Consider the following 19,082-nt stretch of genomic DNA (forward strand, 5'->3'; position numbering starts at 1 on the left):
TGATGGCCCTACCTCTGCTTGCAGGGCTTGTGCGAGTTTTTCCAATGGGGCTGTCCTTCAAAGAGCATATCGTGCTGCCAATGGACATAGACATAGGGCTGAGGGGTGACCAAGAACTGACCATTTGGGAAGAGGACTCATGTATGGAACTTGGGAACATGGGGCTGGTTGTTCTCATTCATGTATGCAAAGCCTGCTATGCTAAGGGACAGAACACTAGGACTGGGAGAAATGGAGGGAGGATCCCAGGTCTCCGTCTGAACTATCGCTCTGGGCCTGGGTGGAAATGCAAAGCTCTGTGGTAGAAGTAAATCTTAAATAAAAACAAAATCATAAAACCCCAAACTCATATGTATGCAAAGCAATATTATTGCAACACGAAGATAAATCAAAAACTTCAAGTAAAACTTAACTCACTTACCCCAAAGCAAATATACACTGTGGAATGTAGGTGAATCAGCTCTATTTCAGGAAACATTGGCATTTCTTGACTTTGTACATAGCTTAGTATTTTACACCATTTTCCTTCTTTGCCCGCCTGAATTTCTGATTTAACAGGTTGTGATGGGAGCCAAAAAAGCTAGCAGGAATGTAAAATAACTCAGAAAATTATTTTCTTGTGATTGACTTTGCAGGGTTCTGTTAAAGAAATGCTTTAAACCAGTGATGAGATAGACCCTTTAGGTAACAGTCTTGCACTAGCTCTGCTGAGTATGTCTCCTGTCTCTATTTTTCAGAGGAGGAAACATACTGAGTGTTAAAGTGACTTCTCCAAGGTCACACAGTAATGCTGGTGCTGAGATTTGAACTCAGATCTGCATCCTCTGACCTCTAAGACTTCTTTTATTACATAAAAGTACTTCATCAGTGGCATGGGATTTTTGTTGTCTGAGTTTCACCTGTGGTTGGTAGAATATACTCACTTTGGCAGGGAAGGGGCCACAGAATACCCAACCCTTGCTCAACAGTTTGAATGATTCATGAGGGCCATAACCTAGAGAGTGTGTGTGTGGAAAACCTAGAGGGTATGTGTGTGGAAGTTTGCTTTGTCATATAACTTACTGTATGAAATATCATAAACTTCTTCAGGAAATGTCATGAGCTGAAAGAGAAAACAAATGAATGTATCATGTATCTTCTCTTGAAATTTGTTCCATTTCAAATTCCTCCAAAAGTGGGGAAAGCAGAGCCTTCTGTACCCACCACCCTCTCGGGCAGACCCATGGTTTCCTCAAGGGCCATGACAGCAGGGCTAGAAGTTTGTGTTAACTGGTCTAACTGCCCGTGTATGTATTCCAGACCATCTACTCCCAACCTCTCTTGAGAGGAAATGGAAACAGGAGATTTAGAAAAATGGGTTTTTTTTTTTTCTGAGAATTTTTTTTTTTTTACTTAGTTATTCTGTGCATGCTGAAACTTGTTTTTTTAGGGTGCTCAAAAGTACTTCCTTTTAAGAGGAGAGACAAAAATTTACACAAACCTGAGGCCAGTGATTTGCCAAATGTACCAATTCATAATGAAGGGAGTTGCCTCAAAATGTTTCCTTTATTGTGTAGCATTTTTCTTGGTAGCTTTGTAAGAGAAGCTCTTTCCTCTGTCTACCTGGCAACCTCTTGGCACGGAAAGCCTTCAATATAGATGTGACATGCCAGCATCTGCGGCAAAACACTTTCAAAGCAAGCCGTATACTATATGCATGCAAACGTATAACTCTTTCTATCCTGGGCATTTCTCGAAATATCTGTTACATACCCCTCAAAATTGATGAAGGATTTCTCTCATCTCCCTCAAACAAACAGGAAACACTTTAAAATCTCATTTTTAAACAGAACAACTCAGAAATATAGACTAATGAAAAATAAAAACAGCTGGAGTCAGATCACTCTGCTCTGAGGAATGGGCATTTTTGTTTTATTTTGAGTTGTGTATTTTTTTTTTTTTTTTTACAGTAAAGATCATGGGTCTACTCATGTCCAACCGATTTGACCATGAACTGCAAAATGGATATCATGGGGGCCATGAACATGATTTAGACATCGACCCTATTCTTGATCAGCTCACAGTTCATTTGATGATGTAACATTAGTATATAGAATAATTTCATATTGATGAAGTTATCACAAATGTTTTAAGACAGGCTCAGGAAGTGGAATGGTTTGGTTGGAGCTGTGAGGGGTTGTGGTTTTGGATATTGGAAATGCATGCTAGAATTCTACTCAAAAGGTTGTGTATCTGGCTGAGAAAGTGTTTCTGAATTTGGTAGGCAACTGGAAGCCACTTTAGTTTTCTGAGCTGGTTGGAGTGACACTATGGAGCAAGGTAGAGAGCAGATTAATTTAGGTGAAGAGAGACCACACATAAAAAAGTGAACTCTATAATGATTATCTTCGTGTATGCTTACTGGGAAAGCAAACAATTGGTTGGCATAAATGCTTCTTTTCTTCATTGTCCTGTATAGCCATAGGATACCATGGGATTATCAGGGGATATGGAATCAAGAGACCTAAAATCTAGTGCCTGATCTAGCACCTACTACTTAATGTCTTTAGACCTAACTTTCCTCATCTGTAAAATAGAGATTATAAAACTATCTTGTGAGCTCATGGTAAGAACTAGACATAATGTATGTAGATGTCTTAGCGCATTGCCTGGAACAATTTAGGCCTCGCTCTTAAGACAGATGACACATCTTAAATATGCAGGTTATCATTTCCATGTAAAAATAATACATGCTCATTACAGAAAGTAAGAATTTTCAAAAGAAGAAAAAGAGTTGTGTCAATAGTGTTAAAGTTCTATTGTGTCTTTTTCAATCCTGTTATATGCTTCCCACTCAGGTTTAGTGCCAGGGTAATGAACTGGAAAGAAAGCAGGCTTAATGTTATCCTTCTTAAGATTTTACTCTTCCTCTTGCCAGATTTGCTTTGCTGTTTGTAGGAAGAAGAACCAGAGCTAGACCAGATAAGCTCCAGATCCCTGCATCTGGCTTTTCACTTCCATCACTGAAGACATATTCCTGGTCCAGACCTAGAATCTGAGCACTGTTGGGAGTAGGCAACTTCTGCCAGCAATGCCAATAAATGTCCCCTTTGTTAACCAGCCCTCAGATATCCTCAATATTCCTACTTTACTAGTAGAGCTCATGGCTCTTGACCGGAAATCCAGGTCAGAGTTCTATCTCTGGGTCAGAAATATCTGGTTGTAAATCCTGGCTCTCACTAGTTCTGTGCCTTTAGAATTTTCATAATTCCTTTCTAATTTTCAGGTATCAACAATTTATGAAGAACAATGAGATAATGGATGATAAAATGTTTGTGTGCTGGGCACGGTGGCTCATGCCTGTAATCCCAGCACTTTGGGAGGCTGAGGCAGGCGGATCATGAGGTTGGGAGATCGAGACTATCCTGGCTAACACAGTGAAACCCTGTCTCTACTAAAAATACAAAAAAAATTAGCCAGACGTGGTGTCACACGCCTGTAGTCCCAGCTACTCAAGAGGCTGAGGCAGGAGAATCACTTGAACCTGGGAGGGAGAGGTTGCAGTGAGCCAAGATCCTGCCACTGCACTCCAGCCTGGGTGACAGAGTGAGACTCCATCTCAAAAAAAAAAAAAAAAAAAAAAAAAAAAGTTTGTGTTCTGTAAGACACTTTCCAGCTAGCAAATATTGAATGCCTAGTAGGCACTGTTAGAGGCTTCACATTTTAAATTACATTTAACACTTTATAGTATGTTTTTGAGAAAAATACAACTAATTCCACTTAACAGAAAATTAAGGTGCAGCAAGATTGGTAAACCTGCTACTCAGTGAAGTGGCAACCATCATTGAATCTGTTGAAGATAAAGGTTATATTTCATATAATGTTTTCCTCCATTTTTTTTCTTCTTCTGCCATTATCACCATTACCACCCAATCTTTGATTTTATCCTCTTTTGTGTTTGCCTCTAGTCTTCTTAATGACACCCAGCAGGAGGCTGACAGATAGCAAGGCCCAGCCCCACTCTTGGCCTGGAGACCAAGGAGGGCATCCAGCTTAGCCACGGGTTCCATTCACCTCTGAACACACTATGCCTCTTCGTTCTCTAGTTTTGCATCTGGCAATTAGAGACAAATTTTTTCAGTTAATTAAACCACACCCTACTGACTCCTCAGTGACTCCTCACTAGCTTCCATGTTAGGATTAGACTGCTCTGGACCATGCACTTTTCTGTTTAATCACAGCACCCTCCCCTGCAACCTCTACCAATTTCTGTAGATTTCTTCTGGACTGTCTGACTTCACCCTGCTTGCTCACATGTAGCTCAACTGGACATAAATACAGTCACCACAAATATACAAATTATGGCACATAGCACACATACAATTTTTCTTATGTGGATCTTTGTTCTTATGATTTCCTGTCTTCAAAGTACTTAATGCTATTTTCTCATCAAAAGCCTTATATCCATCAAACCCCAGCTAAAAGGCCCCATAGTTATAAAATCATTAGGCTGCTCTGAGTTTATGGAAGGCTTGTTTTATATCTTTCGAGGTCCTTGCATGCACTTGGTACAAAGTCAAAGATCAGTAAAGACGTATTGAATGAATGAAGCCTTTTTTGATACCTTTAACTATGAGAGATTGTTCCTTCTTCTGAATCCTCATCACAATTGTATCCGGAGCAATTTCCCTGGACTTCATGGAGGATTTCTATGAAGGATTTACTTAAAATGTTCCCACTTAAATTAATTATTCATTATTGAGGGAGTTATACCCTAAAAGGTTTGAAGGATGGATCAGGGTGTGAGGCTCCGTGTACAGAATATGACAATGCCAGTGTCTGCCGAAGTATGACTCTAGCAATGACAACATTTCATGTCATCCTCATCAGTGGAAAGAAAGTTATCACTTTTAATCCTAGGATGACATTTGTTTCTTTCTGACAGACATGGACTCCAAATAGGCCATTTAGATGCTCACAACTTAAAGTAGCATCCAGTTTCTTCTCCTTTGTTCGAAAGTTATTTATTGTCAACTTCATTGGATTAGCTTTCCATTTAAATGGCATCTGAGAAAACACAGCTTTTTCTAATAACTTGTTGCATTTTCCTTAGAATAAATGGCCTGAGAAAGAGGGTATTTTTATCATTTGCCCATCACCCCAATAACAGTATGTTCCTAGTTTCCCTGTCAATAGAAGTTTCGAAAAAACAAATTAGAAAAAGAGCAGCTAAAGTCAGGAATGTTGATAGCAGCAAGAAATGGCAGCCTGATGGTGATGGAGGAGACAGCTGACATAAGAACCAATAAACTTAGCAGTCAAGAATCTTTTAGAGCTTTAGGCAAATAGTCTGACTCTTCATATACAACAGCTGGCTTTCATAAAGGGAAGCAGTATAGGAAAGTATTATAAGGGTTTTGAGTATTAATTTGGGTAACATTTAGATTTCAGTCTATATTTGGTGAATTTAAGGAGCCAAGGACACAGGACATAAATGATGAATAATAACTCCCTTCTAGGTCTTAAAATCTGGGTGTTTTTTTGGATAACTTTATTAAGTAATTAAAAATAGCTATTTTTAATATAAGAAAATAAGTATGTAAGTTTGAGAATGACTTTCATCCAAATTAATTCACTGAGGAAAAATACTTCTCTGTGTTATTTAAGTGAAACCCAAAGGTTGGTAATCCTCTGCTCTGATGGGTCAAACACGTTAGGTTTGTGTAGAGTTAGAGTGTCCTCTAGACACTATCCAATCCAGTGCCTTCTTTATTTTATAAGGAGGGAATTGGCACATCAAGAAAAGTGCCCAGTCTAAACCACAAAGAAAGTGACTATAAATGCAAGGATTTGAACCACATTTTTTTTTGACTACCAGTCCAGGGAGCTTACTACCATAACATGTAACACTCTAAAAATGGAATAATATGACATTCAAATTGACAGGCATCCTAACTTGGTCTGTAAACTCATTCATTCACCTTCATTAAACAAAAATTCATTAAGTGGTTTCTATGTACCTGGCACTGTAAGCAGCCATGTTTATTTCAGCATAAATATTTACTGCACAAACACACATATATTCCAACATTGTGAGTCATGAAATCTTAGGTTGGACCTTTGGTTTGGAAACTTTGTCTTCCTCTCTTCAGCCATGAACATGACCACCTCTAGGACAAGCACATTTAAAGTTTCCCAAGCAGATAAACATCTCTTTTAAGGACTTTCAGTTTGGGAGATTCCGTGACCATTTTTGGTAACCCTTTTTATAATTATTCACTCTCACTTGATCTAAATTCTGCTCTTGATTTAACCTCAAGTCTTTTCTTCTGCAGGTTAAGATCACTTTTTTTCACCTTTTAGGAGAGGAATGTTCAGGTCTTAGTATCCTTCTGAGAATTTCTCATATTCATTAAGTTATCCCTTGGGTTAACTCTTGTTTTTTTTTTTTTTTGTCTAACCAGCATAACACAAATTATTCTGGTCTTTCAGCATAGATCTTAATTTATTGGGGGTAGAAAAGGATCTTACAAATGATCTAGTTTTAACTACCTGATATTACAGATGGATCCCCGGAGCCCGGAGAAGTAAAAGGTTCAAGTTACCCAGTTGAATAGTGGCAGATCCATCTTTTGAACCCAGGCCTTCTAATTCTCACTCAAGGTTTTTACAATGACACCACAATGCCCCTGAATCTTTTTTTGATGAACATTGCCGATCTGCTTTATTTATTACTTACCTCTGCCTCAAGTAATATAACCCATACAATTTCTTGGTTACCCTTGCCAGTAAGTGGTTAATCTCACTGAGCTAAAGGCCCTGGAAACTTCTGGGAGGGAGCCAGGTGAGCAAAGAGAGCAGATAAAGGCAGCACCTGCCGATGGGTTTGGAACAGCCTGGGGACATGGAGAGAATGTAAACACATTCTGCAAATCTTATTGTCTGACTCTGTGCCAGCGTCTTTTGGGTTCTTGTCATGGAAAATATTTCCTCTGAGGTCATTCAATGAGCAAAGGAGCATTGAATACCCTCCAGGGTGCCAACTCTGTCCCTGCTTTTGTCCAGATTAAATAAGCAAGAGACTAACATTTCATGGGCCTAGAAGTCTGCCTTTCAACAATACTTGCTCTAAGGTAGGGGGAAAGGAGACATTAAGAAAATAGATCATGTTGTTCTGAGTTGCTCTCTCCCCATCGCCCGCCCGCCTCCTCCCACTCACAGCCTCCCTCTGTTTGCTCACCCATACTTACAAGCACACGCCCTGCGTTTAGAGCAAGAGTTAATGTCTGTGCTTCCTCATAAATCTCGGTTTGGTGCCTCGAGCTATGTTTTTAATTCTGTGGTGGAGCTTTGAGATTTGAGATGAGTAGAAAGGAGGGGCAGCTGATGGAGGTAATAATGAAAGCTGCCATCTTTCCTTCTAGGGAGCTAGGTGTCCTCATTCAGTTTTGCTAACAGGTAGGTTAGTGCCTTAACAGAGACTCTTTGGAGGCCAGGGTAGAAGGAGAGTGAGAAGTCCAGGGAGAGGAAGCCAGCTATGTTGCCCTATGCAAGAGGACCTGTGGCTTCTCTCTGAAGAAAGAAGAATGCACGGAATGAGTATATTAACTCAGACTGAGGACTGACTGGCATATTTTCTAGCTCAGCTAAAAACAACTTGGAGGAGAGGAGTCTTTCCTGTCAAAAATAATTTATTCTCTTACAAAGTTGGTTATCAAAGAATGTGTTTCCTTCTTCCAACCTGTAGCTGCTTTTTGTGTTGTTAAGCCATATTTGTTTTTCATGACTGTGTGCTTTGCCACTAGTATGAGCAGTTTCTACTGTATAAAACTCACCCCTTCAGCATGTCTTTGCTTTTTTTGTGTGTAGAAAGCAAAACTTCTATTGGTCTGCTATGATGATTTAAAGTAGTAATTGCTCTGGTCTTCTATCCTGCCAACAACGGTGTTTGAGTAGAACTCTGAATCTGAGTCACTGAGTGAAACATGTAATTAACATGACTAAAGTAAGAACTGTGATCTTTGAAAACTCTAGTCTCAGTTACATATCTATAAAATCAAAGAATTGGAAACTGACCTCTCCAAAAGGCCTTCCAACTCAGATAGTTTAGGATCCTAAACATCCATGACTATTACAAACCTTCTTCCACCAAGTCCTTATGGGACCCTTCCCCTGCCTCTGCCTCTTTCTGGGAGGCTTTGGAACTTACTAGAAGTAAAGAGTACATTGTCCTTCTTACTTCCACTACTGTGGGAATGGAGGCCAGATCCAGCTGTTTTCCTTGAGGATAGAAAGTGGGAATAATTGAAATAAGTGATCCTCTATTTCTGAAATGAGACTTGCAAGTTTCTATTTGTGCTTTTTGAGGTCTGGGAACAAATTGATAGTAAAATCGGCTCATAGATTGTCAGATCATGGGCTTACAGAGTTCAGGCACTGAGTCTTATTCCTTTCTCTATACCCTGCATAGAGAATGTGCTAAGAAAATGGTGGAATTGAAAATGGAGAACTTTGGAATGTTTTAGAGGATCAGCTCTGAGGTGATTTAAAAGATTACTTTTAACCCATCAGAAAATATAATTAAGAAGTTAGGCTTATTCAGACTGAAGAAAAGAGAATTGAAGAGCTTATTTAAGCTATCTGAATGGAAGTTTTTCTGATGGATTTAGATTCAAGTAGAAATCTTACATATGAAAACATTGATGGAAAGCAGAAGCTGACACATAAGAAGCATCCTTGGACCCGGATACAGGTGGAAGAAGAGGTATCAATAGGTGAAGACAAGCATAAAACATCCCAATACTTCCTCTGTGCTAGAGATTTGCTTCTCTGGTTTTGTTTATGTCCAGTGATTCTGGTGTTTTTCCTTTCCCTGCCCCTTTTTTAAAATTACATTTCACTAGTGGTTCTTGACTTGATGATCTGATTAAGTCTGGTGATATTCTTTAACTTATTTCCTGTAACTACATCTATGTCTTCAAAAGTAGCTCAAAATTACTATATGGGTTAAATAAAATAAAAAATATAAGATCTCTAACAGTACAGAGTGGGTAGTATGGTTCATAGTAGACACTCAATATATGCTGGTGGGACAGTGCCTTACAGAAACAAAACTTTTTATCATCCGTTATCCTCCTGTTTTTCACAAAATTATTGTGACCTACAGATCAGAAAGGTGGTGTGAAATGCCCAAAGACACAAGCTAGTGAAAGTCATGATTTATACCGAGTATAATTTCAGAAAGAAAACTTCCAAATATTTATTTGCTTGATAATTTGATGTTGGCAACCTTTACTTAGGACTTTAATTAACCCATCATAGCAGCTCAGTGAGAAAGACCCAGTCTTCTTCTTCTTTTTGTTTGAGACAGAGTCTCGCTCTGTTGCCCAGGCTGAAGTGCAGTGGCATGATCTTGGCTCACTGCTACCACTGCCTCCTGGGTTCAAGTGATTCTCCTGCCTTGGCCTCCCAAGTAGTTGGGATTACAGGCTCCCACCACCACACCCGGCTAATTTTTGTATTTTTAGTAGAGATGGGAGTCTCACCAAGTTGACCAGGCTGGTCTCAAACTCCTGACCTCAGGTGATCCACCCACCTCAGCCTTCCAAAGTGCTGGGATTACAGGCGTGAGTCACCGCACCTGGCCAAAGACCCAATCTTCTCACCCTGACAACTTAACTTGTTTGTAATTGTCTCCTTCACATCCAGTGCTTCCTTATTTTCCTATAGTCTCAAAATTGCTCATATTGAGTATATTTAAGAATGCATAGTTTGTTTTGAGACAGAGGTTTTCTTCTGATAACTGACTGGGATCCGTAGGCAGGCTTTTTTCACCCATGAATGATGACAGCCTCCTCAGAGCAATTCTTTTAACTTTGTGTCTATTGGAAATAAGGCTATGTTATGCAATAGCAGGGCTTTAGCTTTGAATATATTTTGTAGCCTTAGCCCAGAATGGTGAAAAGACCCCTGAATGAGGTCTCAGGAAACCAGGACTCTTGCCAGTTCATCCCTGTCTTGTAGTGATGCTTTGGGAAAATTCTGGTACTTTCTGAGTCTCAGTTTTTTCCATCCACAGAAAGGAAGCACTGGGCTATAGCTTCCAAGAGCCCTTCTAGCTCTGACATTCTACAGTTTATAAACCTTATCTGCATTTCCACTGAGAAATAGCTGATTTGTGCTTTTCCATGTTTGTAAAATGTTGTGGTAGGTCCTGAAAGCCTCTTGGAATGATAGGATAGTACTTGCTGTGACCTTTGCAGTAGAGGACTTGTTCTGCTCAGTGGGGCTAATTAGATGCTTCTGAACTAGAGAATTCATACCCCAAGACTGCTTATGGATGTTGTATGTCTGCAACCAGATGATCGTTACTGGCATCATGACCACCTACACTATTCACACAGCATGACTGAGGTCATGGAATGTCTCGATATAGAGATTCTAAAGAACAGATGAGGAAGTCCTGTTTTTTTCTAAATATGGGAAGACATATTCAGAAGATTCAGAAAGAGAAATGATTCAGATTCAGAAAGAGAAATAAGCTTGCCCATAGTCACGCAATGTTAAGTGTCAAAACCGAGACTGTATCACAGGACTCCCGGACATCCAGCTCACTGCACTTTTACTCCACTCTGTCGCCTCCCAGGATTTCTTTCATGTGAGTACGTTACTATTAAATAAAGTATTTCTGGTCATAAAGGCATCTGCAGTCTCCACGATTGTTCTAATGGTGTTTGACAAAAGAGAAGATGATCGTCTTTCATAGCACTGTGATACTAACAGCTTTGCTGGATGGCCTGAGAAGCCCCACCCTTGGAGTGATAACTTAGCTTCAGATTAATCTTCCTAGTTTTCACCTCTGGAGCTCAGGAAAGAAGGTTGGCTGAACTTGCATATTTGGAAGTATACTATATCTCTGAGAAAGGTCCTTTTTATAGTCACATTGACTGGTTATTTAGAAATAGGGTCCCTCTTGAATTTCATGCTCAAACTTCATTTGAGGTTTCCCTAAGGTAAAAGAATATAATGTGTACTTATTAGGCAAGCTCTCTTGGCAGATTTTCATCCCCTTTGGATAAAAGCAAAATTGCACCCAGCACATAAATTGACATATGAAGCAGTAAATAATTCCATTGTGCAAGTTGTTTTAATGGACTCAATCCAGAATGCTCCATTTACCAGCACTCATAGAATATTCATTGAGTTTAGAGTTTATTGTCAGGCCAGAAAAAAAAGAGCTGGGGGATAATAAATGCCAGTATACTAGCTGAGAAGGAGAGGGAGAAAGAAAACTTTAGAGGTATATTTTTCTTCTATTTTTCTATTCTTCTCAATATTTTTCTTTACTCTGTCTTTTTTTTCCTAACTCTGTCTTTTTTTTCCTATATACTTTTTTTTTTTTTTTTCATTTTTCTTCTTGGGCAAAGGATTAAGTACAAAAAAAAGTTGGGTGTCAGTTTTCAAATATAATCATCAAAAATCTGATAACTGGCCAGCAGAATGTTTCAGGGACTTTTTTTACTTTCCTTTTGTGAGAAAAGTTCAGGTATTAACCAGTTGGGGAGCGGAGTGTTATATGCATTTGTGTGAAATTGTGCTTATACCATCTCCACATGGATAAACATTCAGAAACCATAACAGCATTCCCGAAGGAATCCTTCCTTAATACAGGAAGTGACAGTTTTGTGAAGGCACCACAATTAAGCTCTGGTTTTTCATTCCAGAAATCCCAGGATTTAATTTTTAGACAAAATGAGACATCCGTGAAGTTCCATAGGGCTGTTTAGAATTACAGGCAACTTAGTTTCCAAGCTTGTCGAATGCAGGGCACCTGAGTTTGGCTTAACCTCCGGGCATCTCTTTGCATTCAGAGATACCTGAAACCACAAATCATAAATTCTGATGGACACATGCAAAAGAGGCCTCAGAAACACGGTTTTGTTATTCAATGTGGCCACACTCCTCTACCATGAGTTCTCTCCCTGTTATCTCAAGCTTACTTTCTCTTGCTCTGCACTTAGGTTTACCAAATGACCAGGCCTGGGCTATGCCAGAGTGGCTTCCTCCCACATCTTGTGGATTAAGACTGTGAACTTAACAGGAGGGGCAGGCACAGTCTTTCTACAAGCTTTGACATGTTTGTTGCTGCAATTTCACTGAATGGAATGTGTGCAGAGAATAGAGGACAATGAGATTCAGAATCTGAAGTCGCAGAGCATTTTGAATTTGTCAGCGTCCCCCTCAAAAATCATGTATATTCTACCATTTAAGAAGTCCCATGTCTTTTCTCAGTCAGTTATTGCTTCTGTGGAAACTGTTATTGTCATGGCAGCTCCTTTCTTCTTGAAACTGTCTCCCACCTGAACTGTTCTGTTACTGTTCACCTCTTTGATACCTCCTCTCTTTCTCTTTTAATTCTTACCATCAGAATCTTGGTGTGACATCAATATCCGTATTTCCAGCTCTAGCCACTGTTCTGAGTGTCAGACTCACATTTCCAAGTAGGTGTTTCCCATATAGAATTCCTCCAAACACCTTGAATTTCCTATTTTTAAAACCTAATTCACCTTTTTCTTCTCACCCCCTAAAATCTTTTGAACAGTTTAACTAGTTGGGAGTTAATATGAAGGCTGACTGATGTATTACATTCTATTTTTTTTTTTTTGGAAATGGAAATGACTAATCTAATGGAAAACGCCTTTCTTGTAGGAGACAAGGAGAAGGCCTTAGGATCTACTGGGGGAGTCCGGAGGAGCAGTCTCTTCTGTCCCGCTGGAACCCATGGTCCACTGAAGTTCCTTATGCTACTTTCACTGAGCATCCTATGAAATACACCAGTGAGAAATTCCTTGAAATTTGCAAGGTAGGAGGCATCTTGGGTATTACTCTCAGATTAGCTTTGTTGCTGGAGCTATGTGCTTCTAGGGACGTGTACTCCTAAACAAAACAAAATAAAATAAAATAAAATAAAATAAAATAAAATAAAATAAAACCAGCAATTTATATAGACAAAAACGGTAATAGGTTTATAATTTATTTTAGTAAAGAGTCAAACTGTTTTTATATGTAAATATACATTATATTTATATATAACATGCTGCTTTCCGCTTGCTAATTGCATGCATTGCCTACATGGTGTATATACTTTCCCACATATAATCACATTCTAATTATTTTATTCATGGAAGTGTGGAATAGTATAAAGCATAGTTCGATGAGGTTCTATGGTCATGCTCGATTAAGTCACTTGTCTTTCTGAGACTTGGTAGTCTCACGTCTAAAATGAAGATAATGAGCACTGCCTTTCCTCCCAACCTCACTGGACCATTATAAGGTTAAATAGAATGATGTGTGTATAAATACTCCATGAAGTGTAAAGCTATTCACAATTTCTTTGTCTTTAAATTTCATCTCATCAAGCAGATATTAGACTTATTTCTAAAGGGAACAGTTTTCTATTATTCTCTCACCTCCCCCAGGCATCTAAAGCAGAACGGGGGCATTCTAAGTAGTCAAGAAGGAAAACAGCTGGAGCTGAAAATGTAGTGAAAGATCAAACTTTATATTTTCAATAAAACCAAATATACATATGAGTGCGCTTATAGACCTAGAAATTCTTACCTTCTCCGTCCTTTTTATGTTTACTTTTATATTCTGTCATTCATTTCAGAATATTACAATTCTTTATTTGCTATGAATTCAAAACTTGGCAATCTGTATGTAAAGACTTTCTGTGGTTGATGGCATATATTACATTTCTTGCATTAAACATACCTATTCGTGCAAGTGTAAATATATATGTATGTGTGTGAAAATATTTTAACTTGATAGGTCCTGGGGATTTTAAAAAGAATTTGAGGCAACATATATTTGATTACAGGCTAGATGGAGTCTTCATTCCCCCATAATACATAGATGAAATGACCTCGAATCACATTATTCTCCCATGAAAAGTCAATGTTCCTCTCAAGAATTATGCAAATGTCCTCAGGGATTTATAGTGTCACGGTGTCCCTCAGGCTCCAAGCTGTTATTGACACTAAACTAGCTTGGTATATGGATCATGTTGCCACTCTTTATGGGACACTCCTATTTCAAATTTCTCAACCCAAGCCTCAGCATCAGCCCCTAGCCTGACTCTTTACCACTGAAAGCCAACAAAACAAAACAACCAATAAGAACAACCTAACACCTATTTGAAGGCAAGAATATGAGAACAGACTCACCCAGGGCTTCAGGGGGACAGAGTGGGAGTTTGCATCATGCTCTTGCCGTGAACTTCAAATGCAATATCAGACTTCTCTGTTTCTAGAAGTTCTTATTAATAATAACACATTAATGCATTGTTCCATAATCTTCAAACTCTGTTTCAAAAATTATTGTTAACAATGCAGAACACTTTATGTTTCTTTCTTTCTTTGTTTCTTTGTTTCTTTCTTTGTTTCTTTCTTTCTTTCTTTCTTTCTTTCTTTCTTTCTTTCTTTCTTTCTTTCTTTCTTTCTTTCTTTTTTTCTTTCTTTCTTTCTTTCTTTCTTTCTTTCTTAAGACGGAGTCTCGCTCTGTCACCCAGGCTGGAGTGCAGTGGCACAATCTTGGCTCACTGCAAGCTCCGCCTCCCGGGTTCACATCATTCTCCTGCCTCAGCCTCCGGAGTAGCTGGGACTACAGGCGCCCGAAAACATCTGTTAATCCAAGATAAAGAGCTTAATAACCTATTTTCCCAAAGACATTTTCCTGCTTTAAAGGACATCTGGTTCCGACCATTAAAATAATATATATTTTTGAATTAGTAGTAATTGTACTTTATTGTAAATCAAAATAAATACTAACTGCCTTAGTTGGTACATCCATCATTTCCTGGGCCAAGTCTTCTCTTATTCCTCATACCTTGTGCATTAGATGGTTATTCCCTGAATGCCCTTTGCAGGAAGAAGTTCAGCGTGAGGAATTAAAGAACAAGTTTTATAAACTGCAGAGAAATAACACTGTCACATTCTAACATCTGATTGTGCTTTATCTTATTCTGTTATATATAAATACAATCAAATAATGCAAAAATAAAGATGAAAAGTAAAATATCAAAGAGGGTATGGAATATTATTTTCCAAATACCCACAAATGGAATTAATAGACTAGAGCATTGGATTTTGCCCTAGCCTTCCCAGTAGCAAAGGCTGAACAGGAAATTGATGTTCATGTAGCTCTTACTGGATGGAAGTAAGAATAACAGGTGGGAGGCACATGCACACACACGAACATGATAGACGGTGAGTTGGTTGGTTGACTTTTAGCCAATCAAACTACTTCGCGGATCTGTTAAGTGTATTTCCTTTAAGGCTTTTCTCCTTAAATTATTATTCCAAAGCTTTTTCTCTTTTTTTTTTTTTCCTTTAGCAATAGTCTGGCACTTTCATTTGCCAAGCTATTTCTTATTCAAAGGCCACCCAAAGTCCCAGCTCTCTAGGAAAACAAATGATCTCCATCTGGAATGTGAGAGGATGAGTACTTTGATCCAGGTTTTTGTGTCTTATTTTCTCTTTTGTTGTTGGTTTTTATGTCACAATATTATTTATGTTTAGGACATTTTCCAAGATTGGCTTTGATTAAGACCCAGTTATATCAATGTAAAAGAATAAATAAGAAGAAAGATAATTTGGGGGATCTAGAATTTTTTTATGTTAATATTTTGGCAAAAACATGAGATTTTAAAAGGGTTTAATAAACTGGTTTTTCCATCTCTCTGATGAATGAAATAGGAAAAAAGTAGAATATGGGGAAAATGCATAACTAAATCAAAAACTGAAGCAATTTAATTCAGTTTAAGAAAACTATTGTCTCACGGGGAGGGAATAACATAGAGCTGAGTTATGCAGTCAACACTTTTAAATTATTTACAATCTAATGGAACAAATTATTATTTTAAAATACATGAAAATATTCAAACTTATTCTTACCCAGAGTCATTTCTTCTACTGTATCTAGAATCTCTTTATTCAAGAGATTTTCTAACACCAACAAAATGCAGGTATTATGATTGTTGCTGAGGATACCAACAGAAATGAGACAAGGTTCTTGCCTTTGTGGAAGGCAGTGCTTAACAGGGGAGGCAGATAAAAATGCAAATATTTTTAAGAGTTCTAATTAACTGAAACTGAAGTTTGGATCAAGCAAAAAGGAGTAGAGGTACATGAGAGTATGCAGAAGGTTCTTAGATAAAGAGTAATTTGGTTTAACTGGAGTTTAATGTTACATAGTCCCCACTGTAGTTATAATGGCTTAGATAATAGATATAAGAGCCTAAACTAAGTTCGGAGCAGTAGGAAGGGAAAGAAGATGAGGAGATTTTGAGTTATTCAGGAGAGAGAATTAATGAAAGCAAGTAACTGACAGGATATTGAAGATGATGAAGAAGTCAAAGATGACAAGGTTTCAGGATTGGGTAGATGGTGATTCCATTAATTTGATTGAAGAAAACTGGAAAAAGTAGGTTTGGGGACTCAGCTTATGACATGTTGAATTCGAAACATGTTGCATTTCTGTAGAACTTGGGGTAGGGTTGGTTGTCAGGCAGTTAGAAATTTAGGTCTGAAGCTCAGTACAGAAAGCTGAACTGGTGATATAGGTTTGAGATTACACAACATTGGGCCAAAGCTGAGTAGTCATGGGGCTGGTGGGTCAGGAAGGTACCCAAAGAAAGAGCATTAATGGATATAATTACGTTCAAGTTAAAGTTTACGCTATGTCTAAGTCTGTTAACATTTATTGATAAAATTGCTGTAAAGTTTATACAATGCTATGTCAAAATATACTATTCCCATCTCACTAACTCTATACCACTTCCACATCTGGCAGATATGGTGGTCAAATGGCCTTTTCCCAGACAGTCTTGCTTATCTCCCTGCTTCACCAAACTTTTCCAATCTGTTCACATACATAGTTTGTGTTACTCATATAAAACAATGTGAAAGTATAAAATAAAATAGTAGCTTTTTGGCACTGCTTTTAATATTATGAGACATAAAAATATCTAGTATACTATTATATAGTTATACTTTATATCTATTGATTACAATTTGAATACTATTTTCATGTAATTCAACTAATAAAACCCCTGTAAGATAAGGATAGGTGTCTTTGTTTTAAAAATGAGAACACTTGAGCCATGTGTGGTGGTGGCCTATGCCTGTAGTCCCAGTGACTCAGGAGGCTAAGGTGGGAGGATTGCTTGAGGCCAGAAGTTCAAGACCAGCCTAGGCAACAGAGTAAGACCATGTCTTTAAAAAAACTTAATAAAATAAATTAATGAGACATGGTGGCATGTACCAGTATTCCCATTCCAGTTACCTATAATCCCAGCTACTTGGAAGGCTAAGGCAGGAGGACTGCTTAAGCCCAGGAGTTCGAGTCTGCAGTGCAAGTCTGCAGTGAGCTGTGATTATACCATTGCATTCCAACCTAGATGACAGAGCAAGATTTTGTCTCTTTAAAAAAAAATGAGGACAGTTATTCAGAGGGATTAAGTGACTGAAATCATATAATAATAGTTCTATGTTATACCCAGTTTCCTAATATTCAAGGAAATGGGTATAAGCCTGAAAGAATTGTGTGTGTGTGTGTGTGTGTGTGTGTGTGTGTGTGTAAGGGGGGGTGAGAAAGAGAGAGACTGTGTGTACATTTGTATTAATTGATGTGATATGGTATAATATTGTATCTCAAAACCTGGCTCAATTATCCTCAATTATTTCATCCACTTTGTATTTGCAACTTATAGCCTTACCTTTTCTTTTTTAACCATCGCTTTGCTGGGTTCCTACAGTATGCAGAGACTACTGCTGGGAAGGATGAGTACTGAACCCAGAACTGATGAATAGCAGTGAACGCATTATGTGTGCCCTACAACCATCATGATCTACAGACCAACCATTTGTACTCTTTTCTTGTATTTCTATCCATCTTTTCAAGGGGATCATGTAAATGAACCAATGTTTTAGCAATTAAATTTAACTTTATACTCTTAGCCCTTTGTTTGCCTTTTACAACAATTCAACAAATATTCATTGAGTACTTACCTGGCAGTGACCATTACATGATGAGCAATATTCTGGATTACCAAGAAGAATAAAACTGATTTTGCCCTACAGATACTTACGGCGTAGGGGGAGGAGGCAGCAAAGACTTTCACAAATTATAATTTAAAGTACTAAGATTGTAAATAGGGGGAGCCCAAAAGTGGGAACAGATAAGTCCAAAAGTTAACAAGTCTGATGACATTTGATATGAAACTCAAGGTATGGGTGATTTAAGCACCAAAGAAGGTGGGAAAAGACATTTTAATTAGAGGAAACATGCTTAAAAGCTGCGAATTACAAAGGTATACAAAATGTTCTCCGATAAAGACTAATTCAGTTTAGCTAAGTTTAAAGTGCACTTGTGTGTGTGTGCACATATGTGCATATGTTCAGAGAGGAGGGTTGGGGGATGGGATAGGATGAGGATGGAAATTGCTATGGGTAGAAACCTCTCTTGTGCAAGAAAAAAGAAGCTACTGCCTCTTCTTATTTGTCTCTATGCACTTGAATTTATAGTCACAGGGGCTCTATGAGGATAATTCCAGGAAAAATGTGCAAAGATGATATATACAGTCTGTCCAGCAGTGTGACTTCTCAAGTGATTTCAAGTACTGGGTATTGGATGGGCGTGCCCTCTATGACAGGAGACTTGGAGACTTCCTTCCATACACAGGGAGGCTGAAACCTGTAGCCTGCAGGCTCAGAAAACCAGCTCAACTGAGGAATGTGGGCCTACAGGCATGAAACCTGGTCTCTTTACCCAGTGTAAACAGGAAGCCAGTGATGGTTGTAATAAGGAAAACTGAGACTCCAGGCAATGAACTGTTGGCAGACAGCACCTAAAGCAAACCTGTGGACCAGGCACTCGGCTGGTAAATAATTGGTGGAAAGTCAAGAATAATACGATGTCCCCCCTGTCCCCACCACGCACACTGCTGCTATACTTTATCCTAACCAACACACAGCCCCTGTGTAACTGGAGTTGTTAAAACCTGACCCTCTGTATTTGGGACTGAAATAAAAGAGAGAGCCAGA

The 19,082-nt window shown here is 38.5% G+C and overlaps 1 protein-coding gene across 22 annotated transcripts in view, besides 1 other annotated feature; it reads left to right on the forward strand.

Moving 5' to 3' along the window:
• The window catches only part of TPRG1 (tumor protein p63 regulated 1), a 328,078-nt gene that overhangs the window by 300,472 nt on the left and 8,524 nt on the right, over positions 1-19,082 (forward strand). For 21 of the 22 annotated variants that reach the window (XM_047448032.1, XM_047448034.1, XM_047448028.1 and 18 more), the window contains one exon: positions 12,688-12,841. In XM_047448032.1, coding sequence (XP_047303988.1) covers positions 12,688-12,841 — 154 coding nt within the window. Of the gene's footprint in view, positions 1-12,687; positions 12,842-17,794; positions 17,996-19,082 lie in introns of those variants that run through there. The other variant, XM_011512734.4, reaches the window with a different exon arrangement.
• Positions 10,220-10,279: an enhancer, noted in NCBI's record as "active region_20979". NCBI's record gives its function as "activates an Ori minimal core promoter by ATAC-STARR-seq in GM12878 lymphoblastoid cells {active_cell/tissue: GM12878}" and the evidence as "EXISTENCE:reporter gene assay evidence [ECO:0000049][PMID:35858748]".

This window comes from Homo sapiens, chromosome 3, assembly GCF_000001405.40.
Source record: "Homo sapiens chromosome 3, GRCh38.p14 Primary Assembly".
In the NCBI taxonomy this organism is placed as follows: domain Eukaryota; kingdom Metazoa; phylum Chordata; class Mammalia; order Primates; family Hominidae; genus Homo; species Homo sapiens.